The 23742-nt window shown below is 40.9% G+C and overlaps 2 protein-coding genes, 2 non-coding genes and 1 pseudogene across 9 annotated transcripts in view, besides 4 other annotated features; 4 read left to right on the forward strand and 1 right to left on the reverse strand.

The window, feature by feature from the left end:
- Nucleotides 2747–2796: an enhancer, noted in NCBI's record as "active region_1319". NCBI's record gives its function as "activates an Ori minimal core promoter by ATAC-STARR-seq in GM12878 lymphoblastoid cells {active_cell/tissue: GM12878}" and the evidence as "EXISTENCE:reporter gene assay evidence [ECO:0000049][PMID:35858748]".
- Nucleotides 2800–3438: an enhancer, noted in NCBI's record as "NANOG-H3K27ac-H3K4me1 hESC enhancer chr1:93297399-93298037 (GRCh37/hg19 assembly coordinates)". NCBI's record gives its function as "activates a minimal SCP1, AML or CMV promoter by ChIP-STARR-seq in naive H9 embryonic stem cells {active_cell/tissue: H9 hESC(naive)}" and the evidence as "EXISTENCE:reporter gene assay evidence [ECO:0000049][PMID:30033119]".
- Nucleotides 2944–12882, forward strand: RPL5 (ribosomal protein L5). Of its 2 annotated transcripts, none has more exons than NR_146333.1 (8): nt 2944–3075; nt 4347–4416; nt 4503–4618; nt 5737–5838; nt 7185–7350; nt 8414–8591; nt 11509–11597; nt 12724–12882. NR_146333.1 is itself a non-coding variant. In NM_000969.5 (8 exons), exons 1-8 carry the CDS (start codon nt 3073–3075, stop codon nt 12821–12823), a joined length of 894 nt encoding a protein of 297 aa, NP_000960.2. In that variant the 5' UTR covers nt 2998–3072; the 3' UTR covers nt 12824–12882. The 2 variants fall into 2 exon arrangements, 1 of the variants encoding a protein (NP_000960.2); NM_000969.5 differs by having other exon boundaries at nt 2998–3075; nt 5737–5871; nt 7148–7350.
- Nucleotides 2967–3286: an enhancer, noted in NCBI's record as "active region_1320". NCBI's record gives its function as "activates an Ori minimal core promoter by ATAC-STARR-seq in GM12878 lymphoblastoid cells {active_cell/tissue: GM12878}" and the evidence as "EXISTENCE:reporter gene assay evidence [ECO:0000049][PMID:35858748]".
- Nucleotides 3439–4076: an enhancer, noted in NCBI's record as "NANOG-H3K27ac-H3K4me1 hESC enhancer chr1:93298038-93298675 (GRCh37/hg19 assembly coordinates)". NCBI's record gives its function as "activates a minimal SCP1, AML or CMV promoter by ChIP-STARR-seq in primed H9 embryonic stem cells {active_cell/tissue: H9 hESC(primed)}" and the evidence as "EXISTENCE:reporter gene assay evidence [ECO:0000049][PMID:30033119]".
- DIPK1A (divergent protein kinase domain 1A) overlaps nt 3687–23742 on the reverse strand; it is a 128734-nt gene continuing 108678 nt past the window's right edge. For 3 of the 5 annotated variants that reach the window (NM_001252269.2, NM_001006605.5, NM_001252271.2), the window contains 3 exons: nt 21806–21913; nt 18141–18317; nt 13125–15153 (listed from right to left, as the gene is read on the reverse strand). In NM_001252269.2, the coding sequence (NP_001239198.1) occupies nt 14341–15153; nt 18141–18317; nt 21806–21913 (1098 nt within the window). In that variant the 3' untranslated portion in view covers nt 13125–14340. Of the gene's footprint in view, nt 3993–13124; nt 15154–18140; nt 18318–21805; nt 21914–23742 lie in introns of those variants that run through there. The other 2 variants (NM_001252273.2, NM_001252270.2) reach the window with 2 other exon arrangements.
- SNORD21 (small nucleolar RNA, C/D box 21) lies at nt 8247–8341 on the forward strand. The gene has a single exon (NR_000006.8). It is a non-coding gene; the product is annotated as a small nucleolar RNA, C/D box 21 (small nucleolar RNA).
- Nucleotides 11677–11809, forward strand: SNORA66 (small nucleolar RNA, H/ACA box 66). Its single transcript, NR_002444.2, has one exon. It is a non-coding gene; the product is annotated as a small nucleolar RNA, H/ACA box 66 (small nucleolar RNA).
- LOC124900443 (uncharacterized) lies at nt 17017–17140 on the forward strand (annotated as a pseudogene).

The following is a 23742-nucleotide window of genomic DNA, read 5'->3' on the forward strand; positions in this document are numbered from 1 at the left end:
CACCCAGCCAATGTTTTGTTTTTTATTTTGAAATAATTTCAAAACCACTGCTTGGGTTAAGAACCGTACAAAGAATTTCCATATACTCTTCTCCCAAGTTCCCCACTGTCACCATTTTAACACATTTTTGCCTTATTAATCTCTCTCTTTACATGCACATATATGTGTATGTATATACACACATGTAATTTTCTTCCTAAGCCATTTACTGGGACCAAGTTGCAGAAATAATGCCCACTACTCCAAAATAGTTCAGTGTGTATTACCTTAAAAAAAAAAAAGAACTCTCATTCATAACCAGTCTACCTATGAAAATCAGAATTTAGCCAGGCTTGGTGGCTCACACCTGTAATCCCAGCACTTTGGGAGGCCAAGGTGGGGGGTGGATCATCTGAGGTCAGGAGTTCGAGACCAGCCTGATCAATATGGAGAAACCCCGTCTCTACTAAAAATACAAAATTAGCCGGGCATAGTGGCACATGCCTGTAATCCTAGCTACTCGGGAGGCTGAGGCAGGAGAATCGCTTGAACCCAGGAGGCAGAGGTTGTGGTGAGCCGAGATTGCGCCATTGCACTCCAGCCTCAGCAACAAGAGCGAAACTCCATCTCAAAAAAAAATCAGAATTTAACATTGATTCATTACTATCACCTAATCCAGACTTCAGTAAAGTTTCACCGATTGTTCTGACAATGTCCTTTGAACAAAAGAAATACAAAGACTTCTTATTTCCCTTTTTCCTTTCTTGTCCAGGATGCAATATGGAATCACACATTGCATACAGTTGTCATGTCACTTTGGTCTCTTTCAGTCTGGAATATTGTTTAGGCTTTCCTTATCTTTCATGATCTTGTCATTTTTGAAGAGTACAGGCCAGTTACTTTGTAGAATTATCTAAATCTGGATTTACGTGTAGTTTCATCATGATTAGATTTGGTTGGTACATATTAGATAACTATTTTAGATTAGATTATGTAAATTTGGTAGGAAGTGTTTTGTGTTCTTCTCAGTGCATCAGGAGGCATATAATGTTAATTTATTTTTTCTTTGCTTTCCTTTTTCTTTTTCCCTAGAGATAGAGGTCTTCTTATGTGCCCAGGCTGGTCTCGAACTCCTGGGCTGAAGTGATCCTCCTGGCTCAGCCTCCCAAAATGTTGGGATTACAGGTGTGAACCTATAATGTTAATTCATCCCACTATTGGTGGTTTTTTAACTTTTACCACTTGAATAAGATGCTGTTGGCTGAGGATGCTGGACAATTACCCCCTAGCTCCTGGTGTCACCAACTGCACTGGCTGAACCAGCCATGCTAGCCACAGACCCCTGACTGTGACCAAGGGGAATAGGTATACATATTTTTAATTTTCTTGTTATGGATTTATAAGGTAAGAAGGAGAGGGATAAGGATGATAAAGTATATTTAATTTAACATGTTGTTTGTTTCATAACTTCTTTTTTTGGATTTTATTTTTTATAGAGACAGGGGCTCACCAAGTCTCCCAGGCTGGTCCCGAACTCCTGGGTTTAAGTGATCCTCCTGCCTTGGCCTCCCAAAATGCTGGGATTACAGGCCTGAGCCAGCACATCCAGCCTGCTTCATGACTTCTTTCTTTTTTTTTTTTTTTGAGACGGAGTCTCACTGTCGCCAGGCTGGAGTGCAGTGGTGTGATCTCGGCTCACTGCAACCTCTGCCTCCTGGGTTCAAGCGATTCTCCTGTCTCAGTCTCCCGAGTAGCTGGGACTACAGGTGCGTGCCACCATGCCCGGCTGGTTTTTGTATTTTTAGCAGAGATGGGGTTTCACCATGTTGTCCAGGATGGTCTCGATCTCTTGACCTCGCGATCCGCCTGCCTCGGCCTCCCAAAGCGCTGGGATTACAGGCGTGACCCACCGCACCTGGCCTGAGCTACCGTGCCCGGCCCACAACTTCTAAATATTCAGATGAATAGTATGTGGGTCTTCCTATGAACCCTTGCCCTAAAACATGCAGAAGTTAGGAGTCGGCCTGTTTCCAGGCAGACTTTCCTTCCTGATGCTTTTGCCTCCAGTGTAAGCAGGGCCTGACCAAGACATGGAGCACCTTTGGTAGGCTAATAACTTGATAATCCACCAAAATGAAGGTTTTTAAATATTTTCTATAAATACGAATTGAATACCTCTTTCTTTACCCTTTCAAAGGTGGCTCCACAAAAGTAGAATCACACTTCCTGTGAAAAGTGTTTTAAGTTTTCTCCTCTAGAGCTCTGTTGACATCGGCCATAGCGAACTCTGTTTATTTTTCCTATTATATAAGGAATTACAAGTTGGAATCAGAAGTAATTGGCATCCTAATCCTGATTTATTCTAGTGGCAGTGTTTTGGAGTCACTTAACCCTGTCATCCTGGTTGGCCGTCCCTTCTCCCAGCTCTAACGGTGAGCAGCTGATACCCTGCTAGGTGCTGGAGAGTCAGAGGTGGACATCAGGGCCCACCTCGAAAAGTTGACAGTCTGTGGTGGGCTGAAGCCAGTAGAAAGCTGCTGTAGGAAGGCAGAGGAGTGGCCCCTATCCCAGGCTTGGGGCTCTCAGGGAAGGCTTCCTGGGGGTGAGATGGGAGGGTGGGTCCATATGCTCTTGGACCAGAATGAGTAGCCCAGAGAAGGCAAGAGGGCTCCCAAGCAAACTTGTCCTATTTAATTTTTTTTTTTTTTCCTGCTTAGAAAAGCAAAATGCGTTATGAACAAAACAAAACAAAACAAAACAAAACAAAACAAAACAAAACAAAACAAAACGCTGTAGCAAAGAAAGCGAAAGGCTCCAGTAATCCTCCCTGCTCCTCCTCACCGCACGGATCCTGTGAGATACCCCGAGCATTGGAACCTGGAGAGCTTGGGCAGGCATTCACCCTCCTTCCAGCAGGGGGCGGAACGTAAAACGCCTTGTGGCCGACGCCCTCTCTCTTTCACACGTCACTGGCGTGACCGTCCGCGCTACATACTGCGCCTGCGCAAGGGCTGTGGCCCTTTTCCCACCCCCTAGCGCCGCTGGGCCTGCAGGTCTCTGTCGAGCAGCGGACGCCGGTCTCTGTTCCGCAGGATGGTGAGTGGATGCCTCGGTCTCGGGGCTTTAGATGCATGGAGGTTCCCTTTTCTTGCCCGTATGCCAGCCTAGGGCCCGTCTCGCGCGTCGCAGGGGCCGGATGGCGTTAGATTGCTAGCTCTGACTTGGTCGAGGTGCAGTTCCCAGCGTGGCCTTAAATGGCTGCCGCCCGGTGCGCGAACTTGGGGGGAGGGGTTGGCGAAGAAGGGTTGCGTGAGCTTGGACGGCGGATTGGGGAGAAGGGTGAGTTTAGTAGACAGCCTGAGTGCGGATACTGCCGTCTAGTGTGAGGGGGCGCTGGCAAGCGGCCGGGCGTGAGAGGTCGCAAGCAGTCGACCTCAGCCTAGCTGGGGAACGCCAGAATGGAGGGGGGCTGCAGGTCCTCGGGTCCCACTCGACCTCCGAGTACCGAGTACTTCGTGGGTTTTCCAGGAGAATGTCGGAGCCGGCAAGTCTTAGATTTAGGAAGCTTGTGCCCGTGGGCTGAGCAAGTGGCTTTTAAGCCAAAATTGTCAGTGGAGCTTGGAGGCCGAGGGGTCCCTGGGCCCCGGAAGCTCCTTTAACATGGAATACGTGCCTCCTGCCTCTTCCTCTAGAGTCCGTCGCCGGATGAGTTTTTAATTATTGGGGTAGGGCCCCAAGGGTGGGATGAAATGTTGCTTTAGCTGATGGGGAACAGTGCTGTTTTAGTGGGGGAATTACTGCTGAATGTGCTCTTGCCCAGTTAAGCTTTGTGGCAGGTAATTTAGGCTTTTGAAAAACATAACATGGGAAGCGAGAGAGGTACGTAGTTGTTATTTGAGGCTAGGTTTTCGAAGTGGGACATAGCGTGTTCCGAACAAACCGACGTTTGGCATCACTGATTGCTGTCTGGAGCAGTGCTTCGCAAAAGTTTGGCACAATTACCGGTGCTGGTCCTTGAAGAAACAAATATGGAAATTGAAAGCGTTTAAAACCTTTTGAAAGCAATATAACAATAATTTTATACCTGTTAAATGTAATAAATTGGGGCCTGCATTTTGTATGTTTCTTTTATTCCATATTTCTCTAAGGATTCATTTTTATTGTTTTATGAAACTACTAGTCTGTGACATGGAAGGTAGAGGAAAAAGATTCTTGACCCTAGTTGCTTGTGAAACCTGGGATTCTACAAGTGACAGTTGTCTGTTTACTCTTGAAGTTCAAGTGTTACTTTGTTACATGGTTAATTTATGTCAAAAGTATCATAGGCTAAGACATCAAAGTTTTAATAACATTCTTTTTTCTTTAAGGGGTTTGTTAAAGTTGTTAAGAATAAGGCCTACTTTAAGAGATACCAAGTGAAATTTAGAAGACGACGAGGTACTGTCACCTTTTTGTGTTTACAATATTAATCTGCTTTGCAGATGCAGTGGAGTATCCTTTCTACAATTATTTTTTTCTTTCAGAGGGTAAAACTGATTATTATGCTCGGAAACGCTTGGTGATACAAGATAAAAATAAATACAACACACCCAAATACAGGATGATAGTTCGTGTGACAAACAGAGATATCATTTGTCAGGTAAGTTGTATTCTAGACAGTCCCCTTTTTTTATTGCTAGAGAAATTGTGCTTGGGAAGCAAAGCACATGGTGTGTGTGTTAGAAGGGCTGTCTAGCACCTCCAAAAGCATCCAGTGAATAATTTTTCCTTTTAGTAGGTCTAGAATTGGAACCTGGGAACTTGGTACTTTAAAAAATGCTCTTGGTTGCGCTCATGCCTGTAATCCCAGCACTTCGGGAAGATTGCTTGAGCCCAGGAGTTTGAGACCAGCCTGGGCAATATAGTGAGAGTTTGTCTTCACAAAAAATGTAAGAAAATTAGCTGGGCATGGCGGGGCGCACCTGTAGTCCCAGCTACTCAGTGGGAGGATTGTTTGAGCCCCGAGGTTGAGGCTGCAGTGAAGTGAGATCACACCCAGCCCTCCAACCTAGGTGACAGAGCAAGACACTGAAACCTAGTTTATGTGTGTGGGGTGGGGAGATTAGAAGTAAGTAAGAAGTTCTTGCCCATCCCAATTCCAGTAGAAGAATAGGGTTTGTCCTGATTTTTCCTATATGGCCTTATATGCCACTTAACCACTGAAAAGGTAGTTGTGAATTAAACAGGGCTTTAAGATTGTTCTGCTTATTCTTTGAAATAGGTTTTAATAAAATGTACAAAGGTGGCTCCCGCATGAAAGACCTTTAGGAAGTGTCAGTTTTGCTCTTGTACTAAGAGCATTCTCACTGGACTCTGAAAGCTAGAATCCTGGGCTTTTACAACTAGGAGAAATTCTGAGAGTTAAGATTTATTGATATTTTGCAGCAGGTAGGCACACCTGTTTCCTGGGCAAATAGTTTGTTGATTGTGAAGGCATTGTCTTCCTCCGTACCCAAGTTCAGATAACTAAACGTTAGGTTCCTGAGACTTTGCTGACTTTAGTTATGTTTAGTTCAAAAGATGATTGAAATATTTGGGTATTCCTCTTTGACTTTTTAAGCACCTCTAATTTACTGGTAACCCAGCTAAGAGTCTTAAGCATTTTAAGTGATGTTCATCTGTGTCCATCAATGTTTTTTTATTCCCTTGAAAAATAATTAAGATGTAGTAAGACAGTGAAAGCAACAGATTACTAACCTAGTTTCTCTCTTACTATAGATTGCTTATGCCCGTATAGAGGGGGATATGATAGTCTGCGCAGCGTATGCACACGAACTGCCAAAATATGGTGTGAAGGTTGGCCTGACAAATTATGCTGCAGCATATTGTACTGGCCTGCTGCTGGCCCGCAGGGTATGTACAAGATGATTTTAATTGATGTAGTTTGTGGCTGATTGCTTGGAGAGTTTTCTGCAAGATGTTTGTACATGGATAAGATAGCTTAAGTTGTGCTTCAGGAGAGTGCTTGCTTCCAGTTTTCTGCTTTGTTAATGGATCTATCTAGGTCAGCTCTTTCCAATAAAATTTTCTGCAATGACACAAATCTGTAATTTGCTGTCCAGTGGTTTTGCCACTAGCGACCTGCAGCTGTTGAGTTCCAGCAGTATGTAAACTTGAATTTGAAAATCCACTTGTAGCTAGTGTCTACTTAATTGGACAATGAAGACCCTTGCTACTTAGGTATACATTCTGAATGTTGGCAAACATTAAAAATGCAGACTCGTGGGAACTCCACTCTAGACCTTCTGGAATCTGTATTTTGATAGTATGTACCAAGTGATTTATATGCACATTAAAACTGGAGAATCTTGGCTAGGCGCGGTGGCTCACACTTATAATCCCAGCACTTTGGGAGGCCGAGGAGGGTGGATCACTTGAGGTCAGGAGTTTGAGACTAGCCTGGCCAGCATGGTGAAGCCCTGTCTCTACTAAAAAAGTAGAAAAAAAAAAAAAGCCAGGCATGATGGTGTGTGTCTGTAGTCCCAACTACTTGGGAGGCTGAGGCAGGAGAATCACTTGAACCCAGAAGGCAGAGGTTGCAGTGAGCTGAGATCACGCCATTGCACTCCAGCCTGGGCAACAAGAGCGAAACTGTGTCTCAAAAAAAAAAAAAAAAAAATGAGAATCTTAGTGTTTTGGAGAGTGGCCATTGACGGGAAGATTCATTTTTGTTTTAAACATTTTTCCTGGTAGATGAAGATGGGATTTTGCCTTGTTTTTATTATCTGAGTTTTTTACCTTGTTTTGCAATGGAATTGTTAAGCATGTGCAGCAAGGTTGATGACAACCCACTCATTGGTTATAAACATGTTTTAATGGAGGGAACATTGTAAGTATAAGAATCAAGTTTATGCATTCTCATTGATTGCTGCATAAGTCAAGTGTGGACATGTAGCAAAGATGCAAAAGTCATAAAACAAAATTGTTTCAAGTGAAATTGAATGTTTTAAGTTTTTTTTTTAAATAGCATTTAAAAATTCATGAGCAAGTGGATCTGGTGAAAGGGTGGGTGTGGAAGGAAATTTTCTTTTCCAGATGTCAGTGGTCCTTACGGTTATGACATAAGCTATTTTAATTTTAGAGCAGTTTGAATAATTGAAACCAGCATTTACATTGGTTTCTTGAATAGCTTCTCAATAGGTTTGGCATGGACAAGATCTATGAAGGCCAAGTGGAGGTGACTGGTGATGAATACAATGTGGAAAGCATTGATGGTCAGCCAGGTGCCTTCACCTGCTATTTGGATGCAGGCCTTGCCAGAACTACCACTGGCAATAAAGTTTTTGGTGCCCTGAAGGGAGCTGTGGATGGAGGCTTGTCTATCCCTCACAGGTAAGAATACTATTTAAGACCTTGGTGCCTGGACCGTGGTACTTCCCTGTTTTTAACTAGTTGGACTGTGGAGATAACCGAATTAAAGTAGCTATCAATTGAATGCCTGCTGTATGCCTAGGTACCATGCAGGAGGAACCTAGTAGGGCAGGAAGGAATTATAGCCCATTTTATAAATTAAGAGTCTGAGGCCCAGAGTTATTTGTCCCAAGTTTTTCGGGCCAGTTATTGAAAGAGATGGGATTGAAACCACTACCTTTTGCATATGACTTAATTCTTATTAGAAATGAGCAACTCCATCCTCTTTCCCCATGCACTTTCTTTTTTCAATCAGAATAAAAATGATTTACTGAATTATGCAAAAAGGTGGATCCTAGAATTTTATAAGAAGTTTGAGGAAAAGGCTTATGAAAGATTTCTAAACCTGCAACTAGGAATAAGATTGTAGGCCATTTTGGGAAGTTAAGTAGGTTAATTTGTAGTTCCATTGGTTTAATGATATTTTTTGTTGTTGAGTCTGTGCATCTTGATTTATTAACTTCTTAGGAATATTTTAGCATTTGGTGATTTAACCAAGAAATAGTAATTTTTGGTAAGCCTAAAATACAACCCAACTGAAATTTTGCTTTTATGATGTGGAGGTGGGTGGGGGGAGTTAGTTGCAAGTACACCAAGAGCATTCTCACTTGACAATTTCATTAACTGTGATCTTGGACAAATCACTTATTCCCATGTACCCACTGAAAATTAAAGGATTTAGAGTATAAGTTTTGAAACTCCTTCCTGTGCTGATGTGCTGGATGACTAATTTTGTAGTGGTGGAAAGCCTTGGTAATGGCTTTTAAAGGTTTTTGTAGCATGAATTTCTTTTCTGTCCTGGAATTCAGAGATGAGCTGCTGAATGATGATATCCCACTAACTGAGCAGTCAGTAGTTGGTCCTTTGGTTGCATATGATGCGATAATTGTTTCAAGACGGGACTGATGGCAGCTACTAAAGTAAATTCTTACTAGTAAACTAAGTTAAGTGAGTCTATACTAAAATATGAATAACTTTATTTTAGTACCAAACGATTCCCTGGTTATGATTCTGAAAGCAAGGAATTTAATGCAGAAGTACATCGGAAGCACATCATGGGCCAGAATGTTGCAGATTACATGCGCTACTTAATGGAAGAAGATGAAGATGCTTACAAGAAACAGTTCTCTCAATACATAAAGAACAGCGTAACTCCAGACATGGTAAAACATTTACCTAAAAATGCCTATATTGGTTAATTTATGGAAATAGGTTTATTACTTGTTTTGGGGGCAGGTAACATTCTTATATAGGTGTGTTTCTTGACAACATGAGCTAGACTTGTCAACATTCTTTTAGTAATCTTTTAGATGCTCAAGTGTGGGAGACTTCAAGCATCTGAAGATTTGGCTACCTTTTATGCTTTGGCTGTTCTGTATTTGTAGATGTCATTTCTGTAATCATAGTTGTAATCTGCTTTGTTGGATAAGAGGTGCTAGATAATAAACTTCACTTATTTTGATACCATCTGGGAGGAAAGCTCTTCATAGCATATGTGTGCTATATTCTGGACTTTCCCATTATCTCAGACATGTACACAGGAAAAGAGATTTGATCACTGGGTCTGCGTGATGTTGTAGAAATGAGGGGAGCCATGTTTGCAAGAATGAGTCCCAAAGTGCTGGGCTTACAGATGAGAGCCATTCCTGACCCAGGTTCTTTTTCGTTAGTGTGTAGTAGCTTCTATTTTGGCATAGCTATTGGTTAGGAAAATTTTTAAAAACAGTAGTTGGGAAATGACCACTTTCTGTTATTTCTATGCTTTGGACACAGTGTAAAGGCTGAATAAACAAATAGCTTGAGTTTCTGAGTTAGGAAAAGGAGTAGTTTTTTATCAATAATGTAGGTGCATGTTAATTTTTACTGCGTTATATTTCTTTGTTACTTATGACTTCATCCTGGTAAAGAGGTCATTTACTTTTGGATTATGATTCTACTAGTCTTGCAAAATTTACTTCCTAACCTATATCTTTATGTAGTCATGTCATACTTGCTCAGAACTTTTCAGACTCCCAGTTTGTGCTTTCAGATGTTTACTTCCTAATGCTTTCCTGTATATGTGCCTTCCTTCAGCTAGACTACTTTTTGGCTAATGTATTTTTCTAGCTGGCTCATTAATTTTATCTACAGTGGCCTCTATCCTCCTGTGTGCCTGCTGAAATCCTGTGCAGACATCTGATGTGTCTCCAACAGGAGGTGGTCTTTACCTCAATTCAGGCATTATCTACATGTCTGCTTGTCTGACGTCTTGGAAGGAACTGGGTTGCTTAGATTTGTTGAATGACTATATATGAAGTCATCAAATGGATTTGTTATTTGTTAGTGAACAGCTAGCTATAATAGAGTGCTAAAAGAGGTAGGGAAATTAACTTTCAAAATGGGTATAGGTAGTTGAGGTTTCAAATGCAGTGAGCATTTTTGCATTATTTTCCTTTAATAATCTTTATGCAAATGCATGTAGTAATCACATCTCCACATTGATTGAATAATTTTAGAGACCTGGATTACTGTGACATAGTCTGTAGTGGGCTATAATTATTAGATATTCAGAGAGTTGCAGCTTTTTTTTTTTTTTTTTTTCAGTGAGTTTTAGAACAAAATTGCCCTGGCGGGGCATGGTGGCTCACGCCTGTAATCCCCGGACTTGGGAGGCCGTGGTGGGCAGATCACCTGATGTCAGGAGTTCGAGACCAGCCTGGCCAATATGGTGAAACCCTGTCTCTGCTAAAAATACAAAAATTAGCTGGGCATGGTGGCTCACTCCTGTAATCCCAGCGACTCGGGAGGCTGAGGCAGAAGAATTGCTTGAACCCTGGAGGTGGAGGTTGCACTGAGCTGGGATCGCGCTACTGCACTCCAGCCTGGGCAACAGAGCGAGACTTCATGTCAAAAAACAAAAAATTGCCCAATAAAATATCTGATCGGTTGGCTTTTCAGGAAAACTTCTGACATCTTTCTGGTCTAGAGGCCTTATATTACCACTAGATACTAGGGATAGATTGGTGGTAGTGAAAGACAGAAGAGAGGTCCTTGGTACATAATGCTGGGAATTACTTTTAAAGGCCTGTGAGATAAAGATGGAAAACAAAAGTCTAGGGATTGTGGGATGACAGATGAATTTGCTTGTTGGCCTGTGTCCAGTCCTTGGTCTCAGTTAAGCTATGTCAGTGTTGTGACTCTTGGTCCCATACGTTCATCATCTTAATATCTTAATACTTTTGGCACTTGTTCTTGAATGAAAGAATCTAGGTCAGACAGTATTTAAAATGAGAAGCGCAATATTTGTTTCTGCAGACAAAAATTTGATTTAGAGTGACTCAAGAAGTGTGGCTGAATTTCTCAGAAGTACATGCAGATTTTTCTTTTTGTTTTCTTACTTTTTTTTTTTGAGGCAGGATCTTGTTCTGTTTCCTGGGCTGGGGTGCAATGGCACAATTATAGCTCATTGCAACTTCAGACTTCTGGGCTCAAGCAATTCTCCCACCTCAGCCTCTCGAGGTAGCTGGGGTTATAGGTGTGCACCACCATGCCCTGCTAATTTTTTTTTTTTTTTTTTAATTTTTGGTAGAGATGAGGTCTCATTCTGTCATCTAGGCTGGGGTCCAGTGAGCTGTGATTGTGCCACTGCAGCCTTGACCTCCTGGACTCACGTGTAGTCCTGTAGCTGGGACTACAGGTGCATGCCACCATTAATAATTGCCACCTGGCTAATTAGTTTTTTTATGGAGACAGGTCTCACTGTGTTGCCTTAGCTGGTCTCAAACTCCTGGGCTGAAGTGATCCTCCCACTTCAGACTCCCAAAGTGCTTGAGATTACAGGCATGAACCACCACACCTGGCCTGATTTTTTTCTTGAGTAAGATGGAGTTCTGTAGTGATAATTCACATTGCATAAGGTGAAAATTGGGAATTTGTTAGGAAAAGGTGAGTTACATTTAGAAGTTAAAGTGTTTACCAACATTGATTTAGTTTAGTTCCTTTTGAGAATCTGGCTTAGAAGGACAAGATAAGTTATGGTTGCATTAATATAGTAGGGCACATGAAATGAAACCAAGTACTGTTTGCTTTCCTTTGTTTCAGATGGAGGAGATGTATAAGAAAGCTCATGCTGCTATACGAGAGAATCCAGTCTATGAAAAGAAGCCCAAGAAAGAAGTTAAAAAGAAGAGGTATGTCGTCTTTTTTTTTGTCTTTTCAAGAAAACAGGTTGGGAATGGTTCCCACGTGGGGCAGACTGTTGGTGTAATTGTGCAAACTCGATCACTAGCTCTGCGTGATGTGGCAGAAGCGAAGGGAACCAGGTTTGCAAAAGTAACTGTGGTGATGGAAATGTGTTAGCCTCAGACACTACTGAGGTGGTTCTTTCTATCCTAGTACAGTCTAAGTACTGGTTACTGCATTTTTTTATTGGCTGACAAGTTGCTTTTTGTTGATCTTTCATGTTTTGATCTTTAAATGGAATAGAAAGTAATACTTAATGAACATGTAAGCATAAAGTGATGTGATGGCCCACAAATACAATGTATAGTAATTAAATCAATGTATTTAACATATTCACCTCAAATACTTAACACTTTGTGGCAACAACATTTGAAATTTATTCTCTTAATTGTGAAATGTACGATATTCTATATTCATCATGCTGTGCAATAGAACTAAAAACAAAATCATACTCCTCCTGTTGGAGATTTTATACTTGACTATCATCTGCCCATTCTTTGCACCCACCAGCCTCTGTAACCACCATTCTGCTCTCTGCTTCTGTGAGTTCCATTGTTTTAGATTCTATATGAATATGAAGTATTTGTCTTTTTGTGCCTGGCTTATTTCACTGAGCACAATATTCTCCACTTCATTCATGTTGCAAATGACAGAATTTCCATCATTTTTAAAGACTGGGTAATAATCCATTATGTATATGTATACCACATTTCCTTTATCCATTTATCTGTTGCTATTAATATATAGTGCTGCAATGAACATGGGAGTGCCACTCTCTTGGACAAACTGATTTCAAAACATTTGGGCAAATACCTAGAAGTGGTATTACTGAATCTAACATGTCTTCTATTTGACTTTTGGCCCTATGGTAGTAGGACATCACAGAAGTTGGGGTTTGGGAAAGTTAGCTTAAGATCATACATAAGTAAATGTATTTGAACTTGGATTATTTAACCTTCTGATTGCAAAGTCTTAAATATTCTCTATCAAAATTAAATTTTATTAAAATTTTAAATTAAATATTCTATTCTCTTCAGTTATAGTTTAAAAAATATATATTCCTATCTTTTGTAGGTGGAACCGTCCCAAAATGTCCCTTGCTCAGAAGAAGGATCGGGTAGCTCAAAAGAAGGCAAGCTTCCTCAGAGCTCAGGAGCGGGCTGCTGAGAGCTAAACCCAGCAATTTTCTATGATTTTTTCAGATATAGATAATAAACTTATGAACAGCAACTATTTCTGTGTTAAGCTCTTATTCTTATGAACCTTATAGGAAATACCCTGAAATATTTTGGAAAAGCAAAGGAGTTGACAGGTTTTTTTCTCCAAGAAAACAAGTGTAACTAACTTTTTAAGAAAAAAAGTTGTTATTTCTTGGGCTTCTGTTTTACCTGACAGGAGTCATTATCCCTTATGTTGTATGATGAACAGCTCTCCCTAAAAATTTGGCAAGCAACAGACCAACCATCAGTGGGAAATATTTCTTCCATCCATTTATTATAACCAGATGATGAATGGGAAAAGTACCTTAAAGTAAACAAAACTGGTGCTAATCCATGGCGTTGAAGGAAAGTTTTGAGAGAAAGCTGTCCAGTGATGGTCACATAGATTTTTAACATGTTCCACTTTAGGTAGGCGAAACCTTTGAGCAGAAAATAGTGGTTCTTTTCTCCAAAAGGTGTTTAATTTTATGGAGATGTTGAAAGGTACATGCCAAATCTGAGTATACGTGTGAAAATAATATGAAAGAGGAGCAAATACTAAACCTTGTATATCAAGTTTACATGGGGAAAAAAACATTAGATAAATAAATACATTTACATGCCTCTTTAAGAAATAGCCCTTTGGCCCACAGGATATACTGTTTGAAAATGGAAAGTTATTACTAAAAAGTCTGCTATAATTTATTTTAGTCTTGCACTTACAGTCCCACTTTCACATAGTTCAAAATCAGGATATGTGGATCTTGATTGGGCCTTAAGATGTCAGTTTTGAAGGGCTCAGTCAGCTGCGTGATACTAAGATGGGCCCTTTGAATCTTTAGGAAAGTTCATCCATTTTTAGTCAATAAAATTGGTGTACTGTCAAGTATAAGATTTCTTGAAGTAAGCCACTTGAACCATTGTGAAGCTACACATAACTTGATGTCTGAATGAGGTTAAAAATGGGTGTATAAGTCTTTAATACAGTAAACCATGCTATTAACCCAACATCTGTTTTATAAAGAAGCAAGTTTAACCTGCTTTGCAGTCTTAATTTCTGTTAATGTGCAAACTTTACCATGCTAAGACATTAGTAAATTTATAAATTTTCTTGTTGAACAGCAGCTTCAATGCAAACACAATGCTTCCAGCATTGGTATTTTGGCTAAGGTAAATCTACAAATCACTCACTGTTGATGTTTATGGAATGAAGCTTTTCACAGCATTGGTTTTTAAAGTCAGTCAAAATAGTTACACAATGAATGTACTTCGGAGATGTAACAGGGCTTCTAAAAGGGCAGGAATGACATCTTGGGGACCTGTTGATCCTACACCTGCCATTACTTCAGTGATCACATACTGATGGCTTCTCAGGCCTGGGGGGAAGGAGTTTTGTGTAACTGGCCGGAATTTGAAGCCATTTTTTTTTAATGCTCAAAATTGTTCTTTAAAAGTGGCAGGTTTCTTAAAATGGTAATTATGTCCAAATGAACTAAGAGTCATTAGTGTAGGAAATTTTCTTCCACAATAATGTTTTTAGGTTATTTAGTATCAAAGAATGTTCCATTTCCATTTGATTTGCTGTGACTTTGAGAGCAATACAAGAATAAAGCTGCTTTTCTAATTCTTCACGAATTTCACTTGGAGCACCACGCAGTAGGTAGTCTTTGAGTAACTGACAAGCTTTTGCCAAGTTTGGTTGTATCACTTCTGAAGTACACTTCATTGTACTCTGATCACAGCTAGTTCTACAATCTGTGCCATAGACACAGTCCAAATCAGACTCACAGTGACGATCCTTAATAAGTTCTTTCAGGTTTGTCTCTGGCACAATTTTTCTCATATCCACCATTTTCAAATCATACTTATCATTATATCCTAGGTTTTTGGCACTAGTATCGCACATGAGGAAATTTCCGTAGGGGCCATGGAAAACATCTTCCACAAATTCTAGAAGTCCTATGGCTATTTTGGCCTTTCTTGGCCATGATGGTGTGAACAGCTGATCCATGCTTCTTCTGAACCCAGATGGAATAAAAAGTTCAATGACCCAAGGAAGGCTTATTCCATAAAGAGAGGTATATTCAACACTTTCCATCACATAGAGGTCACCACAGAATCCCATTAATTTGGGGGTATGTTCTTTATCTTGAAGTATCACCATGAGAAGAAATTCATTCAGTTGAAGAAGTGCCCATGCCGACTTTGCTTCTCCCAAGGAAACCTGGCCATCTTTGTCTCCATCAGCCACCGTCAAGATGAGATTAACCAGTTCAGAGAGGTTTCCTTGGTCACCCAATTTTGCCTGTCAAGAATTTGGCTAGTTACACAGAAGGAATGAAAAATACCTCCCATGCAACATACTAAGTTTCTTTACGGGCATTATTAACCATGCCAGAAATAATCTTGGTACTGAATCCCCAAACAGGAACTTAATGTATTATATCTCCAAATATTTATGATACTTCCTAAGTGAACTAGAACCATGCTTTATGTAACTGCAGTAAAACCCACTTTAAAATACTTGTCTGTTTGTTAGGAAATGGCCACTAACTCCCCTGTCCCCTTCAGGCCCCTTAGATAGTTAACCAACAATGTAATTATTCCTCATTCATACATTAAAAAACCACCGCCTCATATGTGGACTTGAAAAATTGTACTGTAATGTACTTACATCAAAGTTACAATAAGGGTCAACTAAAAATTATTTTCCTTTTTTTAGAGATGGGGATCTCACTATGTTGCCCAGGCTGGTCTCAAACTCCTGGGCTCAGGTGATCCTCCTACCTCAGCCTCCCAAAGTGCTCGGATTACAGGCATGAGCCAGCATGCCTGGCCTAATTATTTTATCCTATTTTGTATTTATCACAATAATTATTTTGTTCAAATAGTAGTATTACAATAATGAAGATTAAAAAGTATTTCCGTTAGTCTGAAATACATGTAAAATGGCCAAATAAAAAATTTGAGTGAAAATAAAAGAGCAATGAAAATAAAACTTTTTTCTAAAACTTTGTTTTATTTCTATTTAATCTATATATTAGTATTTCTTTTTTTTTTTTTTTTTTTTTTGAGACGGAGTCTCGCTCTTTCGCCCAGGCTGGAGTGCAGTGGCGCGATCTCAGCTCACTGCAAGCTCCACCTCCCAGGTTCACGCCATTCTCCTGCCTCACCCTCCCGAGCAGCTGGGACTACAGGCGCCTGCCACCACGCCCAGCTAATTTTTTTTTGTATTTTTAGTAGAGACGGGGTTTCACCATGTTAGCCAGGATGGTCTCGATCTCCTGACCTTGTGATCCATCCGTCTCGGCTTCCCAAAGTGCTGGGATTACAGGCGTGAGCCACCGCGCCCGGCCTATATTGGTATTCCTTTAAATTAAAAAAATAATTTGCAGAGTACCGTTTTTTTTTTTTTTTTTTTTGCATAGGAAGAACTGCTATGCTTTTTTTCCCGTTAGTTTTAGTGACATGTAATAACTACAAATTTATGGGATACTGATGGGCACAATTGCTCAAGCCAGTAATTCCAGCACTTTGGGAAGCCAAGGTGGGCAGATAGCTTGAGCTCAGGAGTTCTAGACCCGCCTGGGCAACATGGTGAAACCGTGTCTATGCTAGAAAAAAAAAAAAAAAAAAAAACCGTCTCTGCTGAAAAAAAAAAAAAAATGCTGGATGCGGTGGCTCACGCCTGTAATCCCAGCGCTTTGGGAGGCTGAGGCGGGTGGATCACCATGAGGTCAGGAGTTCGAGACCAGCCTGGCCAAAATAGTGAAATCCCATCTCTACTAAAAATACAAAAATTAGGTGTGGTGGCGGGTGCCTGTAATCCCAGCTACTCGGGAGGCTGAGGCAGGAGAACTGCTTGAATCTGGGAGGCAAGGTTGCAGTGAGCTGAGACCATGCCACTGCACTCCAGCCTGGGCAACAGAGCGAGACTCCGTCTAAAAAAAAAAAAAATTAGCCAGGTGCGGTGGTGCGCCTGTGATCCCAGCTACTTGGGGGGCTGAGGCAGGAGGATGGCTTAAACCCAGGAGGCTGAGGCTGCAATGAGCCGAGATCATGCCACTGCACACTCCAGCTTGGGCACCAGGGCAAGACCCTGCCAAAACAAAACAAAACAAATAACCAACCATCTTTTAAAAAAAGAAAGAAAGAAAAAAAATCCCCAGGCCTCCTGGTGCTTACCCCAGGCTGTGTTCTTATACTGACTGTATAGAATGAGGAGGTGAACTCCCATGTACACCTCAGCCCAGGCCCTGCGCCTTGTCTGTATTGTGAACGGGAGCACACAGAAAAAAAATTCATGGGATACATAGTGATATTTCAATACACACATACAATTTGTAATGATCAAATCAAGGTAATTAGCATATTTATGTCTCAGTTATCATTGTGTTGTGAACATTCACAATCCTTTTAGTTTTTTGAAAATAACCAAAAATTATTAATCCCTTTACCCTATAGTGCTATAGAACACTAGAACTTATTCTGCCTATCTAGCGGTAATTTTGTATCTGTTAACCAACCTCTCCTTATTCTCCTCTCCTCTGTACCCTTCCCAGCCTCTAATAGCCACAATTCTAAGAGTATACTCATTTTATTTCACCTTTTTTGAATTAATTTTCATGTCAAACTGTACAGCACTCCAATTAATTAATGAACTCCCTCCTCATATCTGGACATTTTTAGCTATCATAAATAATGTTAAAGTAAACATTCTCCAACACAGATTTCTTTTCTTTTTCTTTTTTTTTTTGAAACAGGGTCTCACTTTGTCGTCCAGGCTGGAGTGCAGTGGTGAGATCTTGGCTCACTGCAACCTCGACCTCCCAGGCTCAAGCAATCCTCGCACCTCAGCATCTCAAGTAGTTAGGACTACAGGCACATGCCACCACTCCTGGCATATATATATATATATATATATATATATATATATATATATATATATATATGTGTGTATATATATATGTGTGTATATATATATATATATATACACACACACGTATATATATATATACGTGTATATATATATATATATAGCTGAGGTCTTACTATGTTGCCCAGGCTGGACTTGAACTCCTGGGCTCAAGTGATCCTCCTGCCTTGGCCTCCCAAAGTGCTGGGATAACAGGCGTGAGCCACCACGCCCGGCCTCTTATAATTATTTCCTCAGGATGGAGAATCTGATAGAGGTCAAAGAATATCAACACTTTAATGGCTTAGGATGAGGTCCTGCCAATTCCTCTAAAGAGTCCCACTTCACACTAGCAACATATGAATGGGTATGCTTACCTTAAAGAGACTATAGACCATTTCTTTAAATTTTTGTACAGTAGTTCCTCTAGTTGGCTTATCAAATAGCACTATTTCTTTTCTTGGTTCCAATTCAGTTCCAAAATCAAGATGAAGCGCTTGTTCCATTTGACATTTCACAACACCTGGTAGATTATCCCAAATCCCTAAATACATCTATGTAAAAAAGAGTGGCAAGTTATGTATTATACTGAGTAGAAAACTCTAAAAAATATACTACTATATTTTTAGGGTCCTCCTCCTCTGAACAAAACAAAACAAGCATCAAACATTGAGGTTAAGGTGTGACTTTATTTCTGAACTGCAAACTTGAAATCACACTCAAGATTTTTTCCTTAAACTAATTTTTTAAATTATAAGAGTAATGCATGCCTAAATATATTTTTCAAAAAGTCCAATGAGAAGGATGTAAGGCAAAAGCAAAGTTCCCAGACATTCTACTTCCATAATCCCACTTCCCCAGAATTAACTACTATTTAAGTATCTAGTTATTTATCAAACTAATATTATATAGTGTTAACTATGTCCTATGGTCTACTAATTTATTTTAGAGACAGGGTCTTGCTTTGTCACCCAGGCTGGGGTTCAGTGGCATAATCATAGCTCATTGCAGCCTCAAAGTCCTGAGCTCAAGGAATCTTCCTGCCTCAGTCTCCCAAGTAGCCAGGACTATAGGCATGTACCACTAAACCTGGCTAATTAAAAACATTTTTTGTAGAGATGGGGTCTTGCTGTATTGCTCAGGCTGGTCCTGAACTGCTAGCCTTAAGTGACCCACCTGCCTCAGCCTCTCAAGTTGCTGGGATTGTAGGTATGAGGCACCACACCTGGCTTTTACTGATTTATGTTATTATTTTAATCCTTGTACCAATCTTAGGTGGTAGGTACTATCATTATACTTATTTCACTGATGGGGAAACTGAAGCAGATACAGGTGAAGTAACATGCTGAAAAGAGCTGAGGTCTTTACCACTAGGATAGGTTGCCCCTCTTCTACATAAAAAAATAAATAAGATCATATTCATTCTTAATATTAATCCAAAGAAAACATTATTTCACTGCCTTGCTCCAAACCCTCTAATAAATTCCCCTTTCAATTAAAGTCCAAAGTCCTTTCCATGACCGGTTGGGCTCCATTTGAGCTAGCCTCGCCTATGTCTCCAACCTGATCTTGTACCACGTACTCCGTTTCTCAAAGTCCCAGCTACACTGGTCTTTCTGTGACAGGTTGAAGCTTGTTTCTGCTTCCTGACCTGCTTCACTTGCTGCTGGCTCTGCCTGGAATGTACTCTCCCAGATCTTCACATGGCTGGCTCCTTTACATCATTCAAGTCTCAGATTAGACATTGCATTTAGAAAGCCTTCCCTGACCCCCTGTCTAGAAGAGATCCTCTTCCACCCCCAGGTCACCTCTAACCCTGTTTCATTATCCTCATAGCCTTTTGCACTGTCTAAAATTATCATATTTATTTATTTATCAGTTCATTACTATCTGTCTCATCTCACATTAGAACATGAGGCCAGAGGCTTTATCTGTCTCCCTCAGTGCCTCAAACAGTGCCTGGCATGCAGGAGACACTCAAATGTTGGACTTTGTTTTAGAAATTGTCTTTAACATGATTAATACTGTCAACTGAAAAATTAGTTTAAATTTCTATAATAATAATGCATATTTATATAGGAAAATTTAGGAACCATAAGATGAACATTAAAATGCAATTTTCCACTGCTCCAGATGTTTCGTTGTATTTTCTTCTACCCCAATTAGATATTCTACTGTTTTATTCTTATTTCTCTGATGAAAAGTAAGGTAGAATTTTTTTTCATTATGTTCATCAGCTGTTTGCAGTTCTTTTGTGATTTAGTTCATCCTGTCCTTTTCCCATGCCTATGAATTTTTTATTAAGGTATAAGTTCAAATATTATTTCAGAAAGGTCTTCTCTGATCACATCCTCTAAAGCACTTCTCACCATCCCTTACACTGCATTCTCTATCAATTTGCCCTCTGTGTCTCCTACAGAACACACCATATTCTACAATTATTTTGTTTGTTTATTTATTTATTTATCAACTGTTTGTACCTCCTGTCCCTCTGGAATCATGTAAGGTCTGTAAGGGAAGCAATCTTGTCTGGTTTTTTTTTGTTTTTTTTTTTTTTTTTGAGACAGGGTGTCACTCTGTCACCCAGGCTGGAGTGCAGTGACATGAACACGGCTCACTGCAGCCCTGACCTCCTGGGCTCAAGTGATTGTCCCACCTCAGCCTCCCGAGTAGCTGGGACCATAGGTGTGTGCCACCACACCCAGCTAATACATATATATTTTTTGAGACAGTCTCGCTCTATTGTCCAGGCTGGAGTGCAGTGATGTGAGATCTTGGCTCACTGGAACCTCCGCCTCCCAGGTTCAAGCGATTCTTGTGCCTCAGCCTCTGGAGTTGCTGGGATTACAGGCATGTGCCACCACACCCGGCTAATTTTTTGTGTTTTTAGTAGAGAGGGGGTATCGCAATGTTGCTCAGGTTGGTCTTGAATGCCTGGCCTCAAGTGACCTACCGCCTCAGCCTCCCAAAGTGCTGGGATTACAGGTGTATGCCACTGTGCCTGGCCACCCAGCTAATTTTTGTATTTTTTGTAGAGACAGGGTTTTGCTATGTTGCTCAGGTAGGCCTCAAACTCCTGGACTAAAGCAATCCACCCACCTTGGCCTCCTGAAGTGCTGGGATTACAGGCCCGTGCCACGGGCCCGGCTGTTTGTATTTTTTTATTTTTATTTTTTATTTTTTGAGACACTCACTCACTCTGTCACCCAGGCTGGAGTGCAGTGGTGGGACCATAGCTCACTGCAGCCTCAACCTCCTGGGCTCAAGCAATCTTCCCACTTCAGCCTCCTGAGTAGCTAGAACCACAGGTGTGTGCCACCACACCTGGCATTTTTTTTAAATTTTGGAGAGACAGGGTCTCACTACATTGCCCAGGCTGGTCTCAGACTCCTGGGCGCAAGTGGTCCTCCCATCTCAGCCTCCCAAAGTGTTGGGATTACATGCGTGAGCCACCGCACCAGGTTGCCTTAATCACCATTGTATTCCTGGTAACTGAAACAGCATCTAACATCAAAGTGCTGACAGAAAAAAAAAAACAAAACAAAACAGTGTCTGGAATATACTGGGGATAGATTAATAAATATCTTTTGACTGGCCAGGTGTGGTGGCTGACATCTATAATCCCAGCACTTTGGAAGGCCAAGGCGGGTGGATTGCTTGAGCTCAGGAGTTCGAGACCAGCCTGGGCAACATGGCGGGACTCTGTTTCTACAAAAATACAAAAAATTAGCCAAGTGTGGTTGTGTGAGCCTGTAGTCCCAGCTACATGGGAGGCTGAGGTGGGAGGCTCACTTGAGCCTGGGAAGTGGAGGTTGCAGTGAGCAGAGATCTCACCACTGTACTCCAGCCTGGACAACAGATCCTGTCTCAAAAAATTAAAATAAAATAAATGTCTGTTTAATGAATGAATCAAAGCATACAAAATTGAAATACATATAATGTCTCAAAGCTTTGGTTCAAGAATTCTTTTAATAATGCCTTTAATTTCTGGTAAAATTAGAGTACACTATAATTCTGGAATGTTTATTCATAATGGCCATACCTGATTGTTGGGCTTGGTGGATAAACATTTTCCAAAGTAAAGAGTTTCTGTAACACAAAGGCTGTTACATGCAGGCCCATCAATAACTCCAGTCTTGTACTTGTCACACTAAAAACCAGGAAATAAAAAAGTAGTTAATAGAAAAATATTCACAAGAAGAAGCATAAAGAGATATCTATATCCTTTATGAGTAAGTTCTATGACAAAAAGAACTGAGGCTTTGGACTTAGACAGACCTGGATTTGATCTAAGCTCTGTTACTTATACCTATATGATTATGAGAAAGCTTGTTGCTGCTGGGGTGTGCGTAGAATTTTGAAACTATTTTTCCCACATGACATGGTCTAAGGTGGTATGTTACCTACTCCTTCCAAGAATAGAGGCACTCTATCTTTAAAAATGGTTCCGGTTTTAGGCCAGGCACCGTGGCTCACGCTTGTAATCCCAGCACTTTGGGAGGCCGAGGCTGGTGGATCATTTGAGGTCAGGAGTTCGAGACCAGCCTGGCTAACATGGTGAAACCCCATCTCTACTAAAATAAAAAAATGAGCCAGGCGTGGTGGCGGGCGCCTGTAATGCCAGCTACTCGGGAGGCTGAGGCAGAAGAATCACTTGAGCCTGGGAGGCAGAGGTTGTGGTGAGCCGAGATCATGCCACTGCACTCCAGCCTGGGTGAGAGAGTGAGACCCTATCTCAAAAAAAAAAAAAAAAAAAACTTCTGGTTTTAAAATAAATAAAGTTTAGAATAACAAAATAAAGTTACCTCTGTCACATTGTCATCCTTGAGATCACCCAAAAACAAGAAAGGGAAAAAAACCCATCCACTCTCTGAAAAAATATGGTACCAATGAAACCCTAGGCACAATAAATGAGGATGACCTGCCAAATTCAGTGAAGATTACACCAGAGCCTACAAGTATGCTGAGATTAAACACCTGCTGTGGTCCCCACTCTCAGACAAAGTTGGCAGAGCACCAAGTAGGTGGTACATCTGCAGAGCACAACCATTATCCTGGTTGCAACAAAGATTTAAGGGGCACAAGCTGTGGGAACTTCCCAGAACTCTATTTGGCACCATGAAATAGTAAGATAAGACAGGCCTGAATGATAAAATGCTCAGAAATGTTCTCTTTGCTGGAGGCAGTCTGTTGATGAACTACGGTTGGGAGAGAGGGCCAGAAGCAGCTTCACTACCAGCTCAGTTCACTGCCCAGTTGCTTCCCGCACATGGCTGGCTGAAGGAGACCTCATTTCACTCAGTAATGAGTAATAATCAAAACCAAACAAGCAAAAGATCTATACAGCAAATCTACAAGAATTAGGAAGAATGGAATAGGAAAAGCAAATGTCAGATAAAAAAAATTTTCTAGGCAGGGTGCAGTGGCTCACGCCTATAATCCCAGCACTTTGGGGGGCCGAGGCAGGTGGATCACCTGAGGTCAGGAGTTCGAGACGAGCCTGACAAACATGGAGAAACCCCGCCTCTACTAAAAATACAAAATTAGCTGGGCGTGGTGGCGCATGCCTGTAATCTCAAGTATTCAGGAGGCTGCGGTGGAAGAGTCGCTTGAACCCTGCGGGGGCGGAGGTTGCAGTGAGCCGAGATCACACCATTGCACTCCAGCCTGGGCAAGAAGAGCGAATCTCCGTCTCAAAAAAAAAGAAAAAAATTTCTAGAAGAATGTTGCTATGAAACAGACCAAACATATTGTTATGAATTTAAAGGACTTACTGAACCAGTTTAAAATAAGACTTCAAAGCAGAAGAAATGATGAGGCAATAGAAGGAAGTTTAAAATAAGCTAACAGAACTCAGACAGGAAGGAAAATAAAACATCTAGAAATAAAAGCCACATTATAAATGAGGGGAAAGACAGACAGGGATAAAACACAGTAAGATTTAGGAGGACTAGGCCAGGCGTGGTGGCTCATCCCTGT

The sequence above is a fragment of the Homo sapiens genome, chromosome 1 (genome assembly GCF_000001405.40).
Source record: "Homo sapiens chromosome 1, GRCh38.p14 Primary Assembly".
Taxonomy (NCBI): domain Eukaryota; kingdom Metazoa; phylum Chordata; class Mammalia; order Primates; family Hominidae; genus Homo; species Homo sapiens.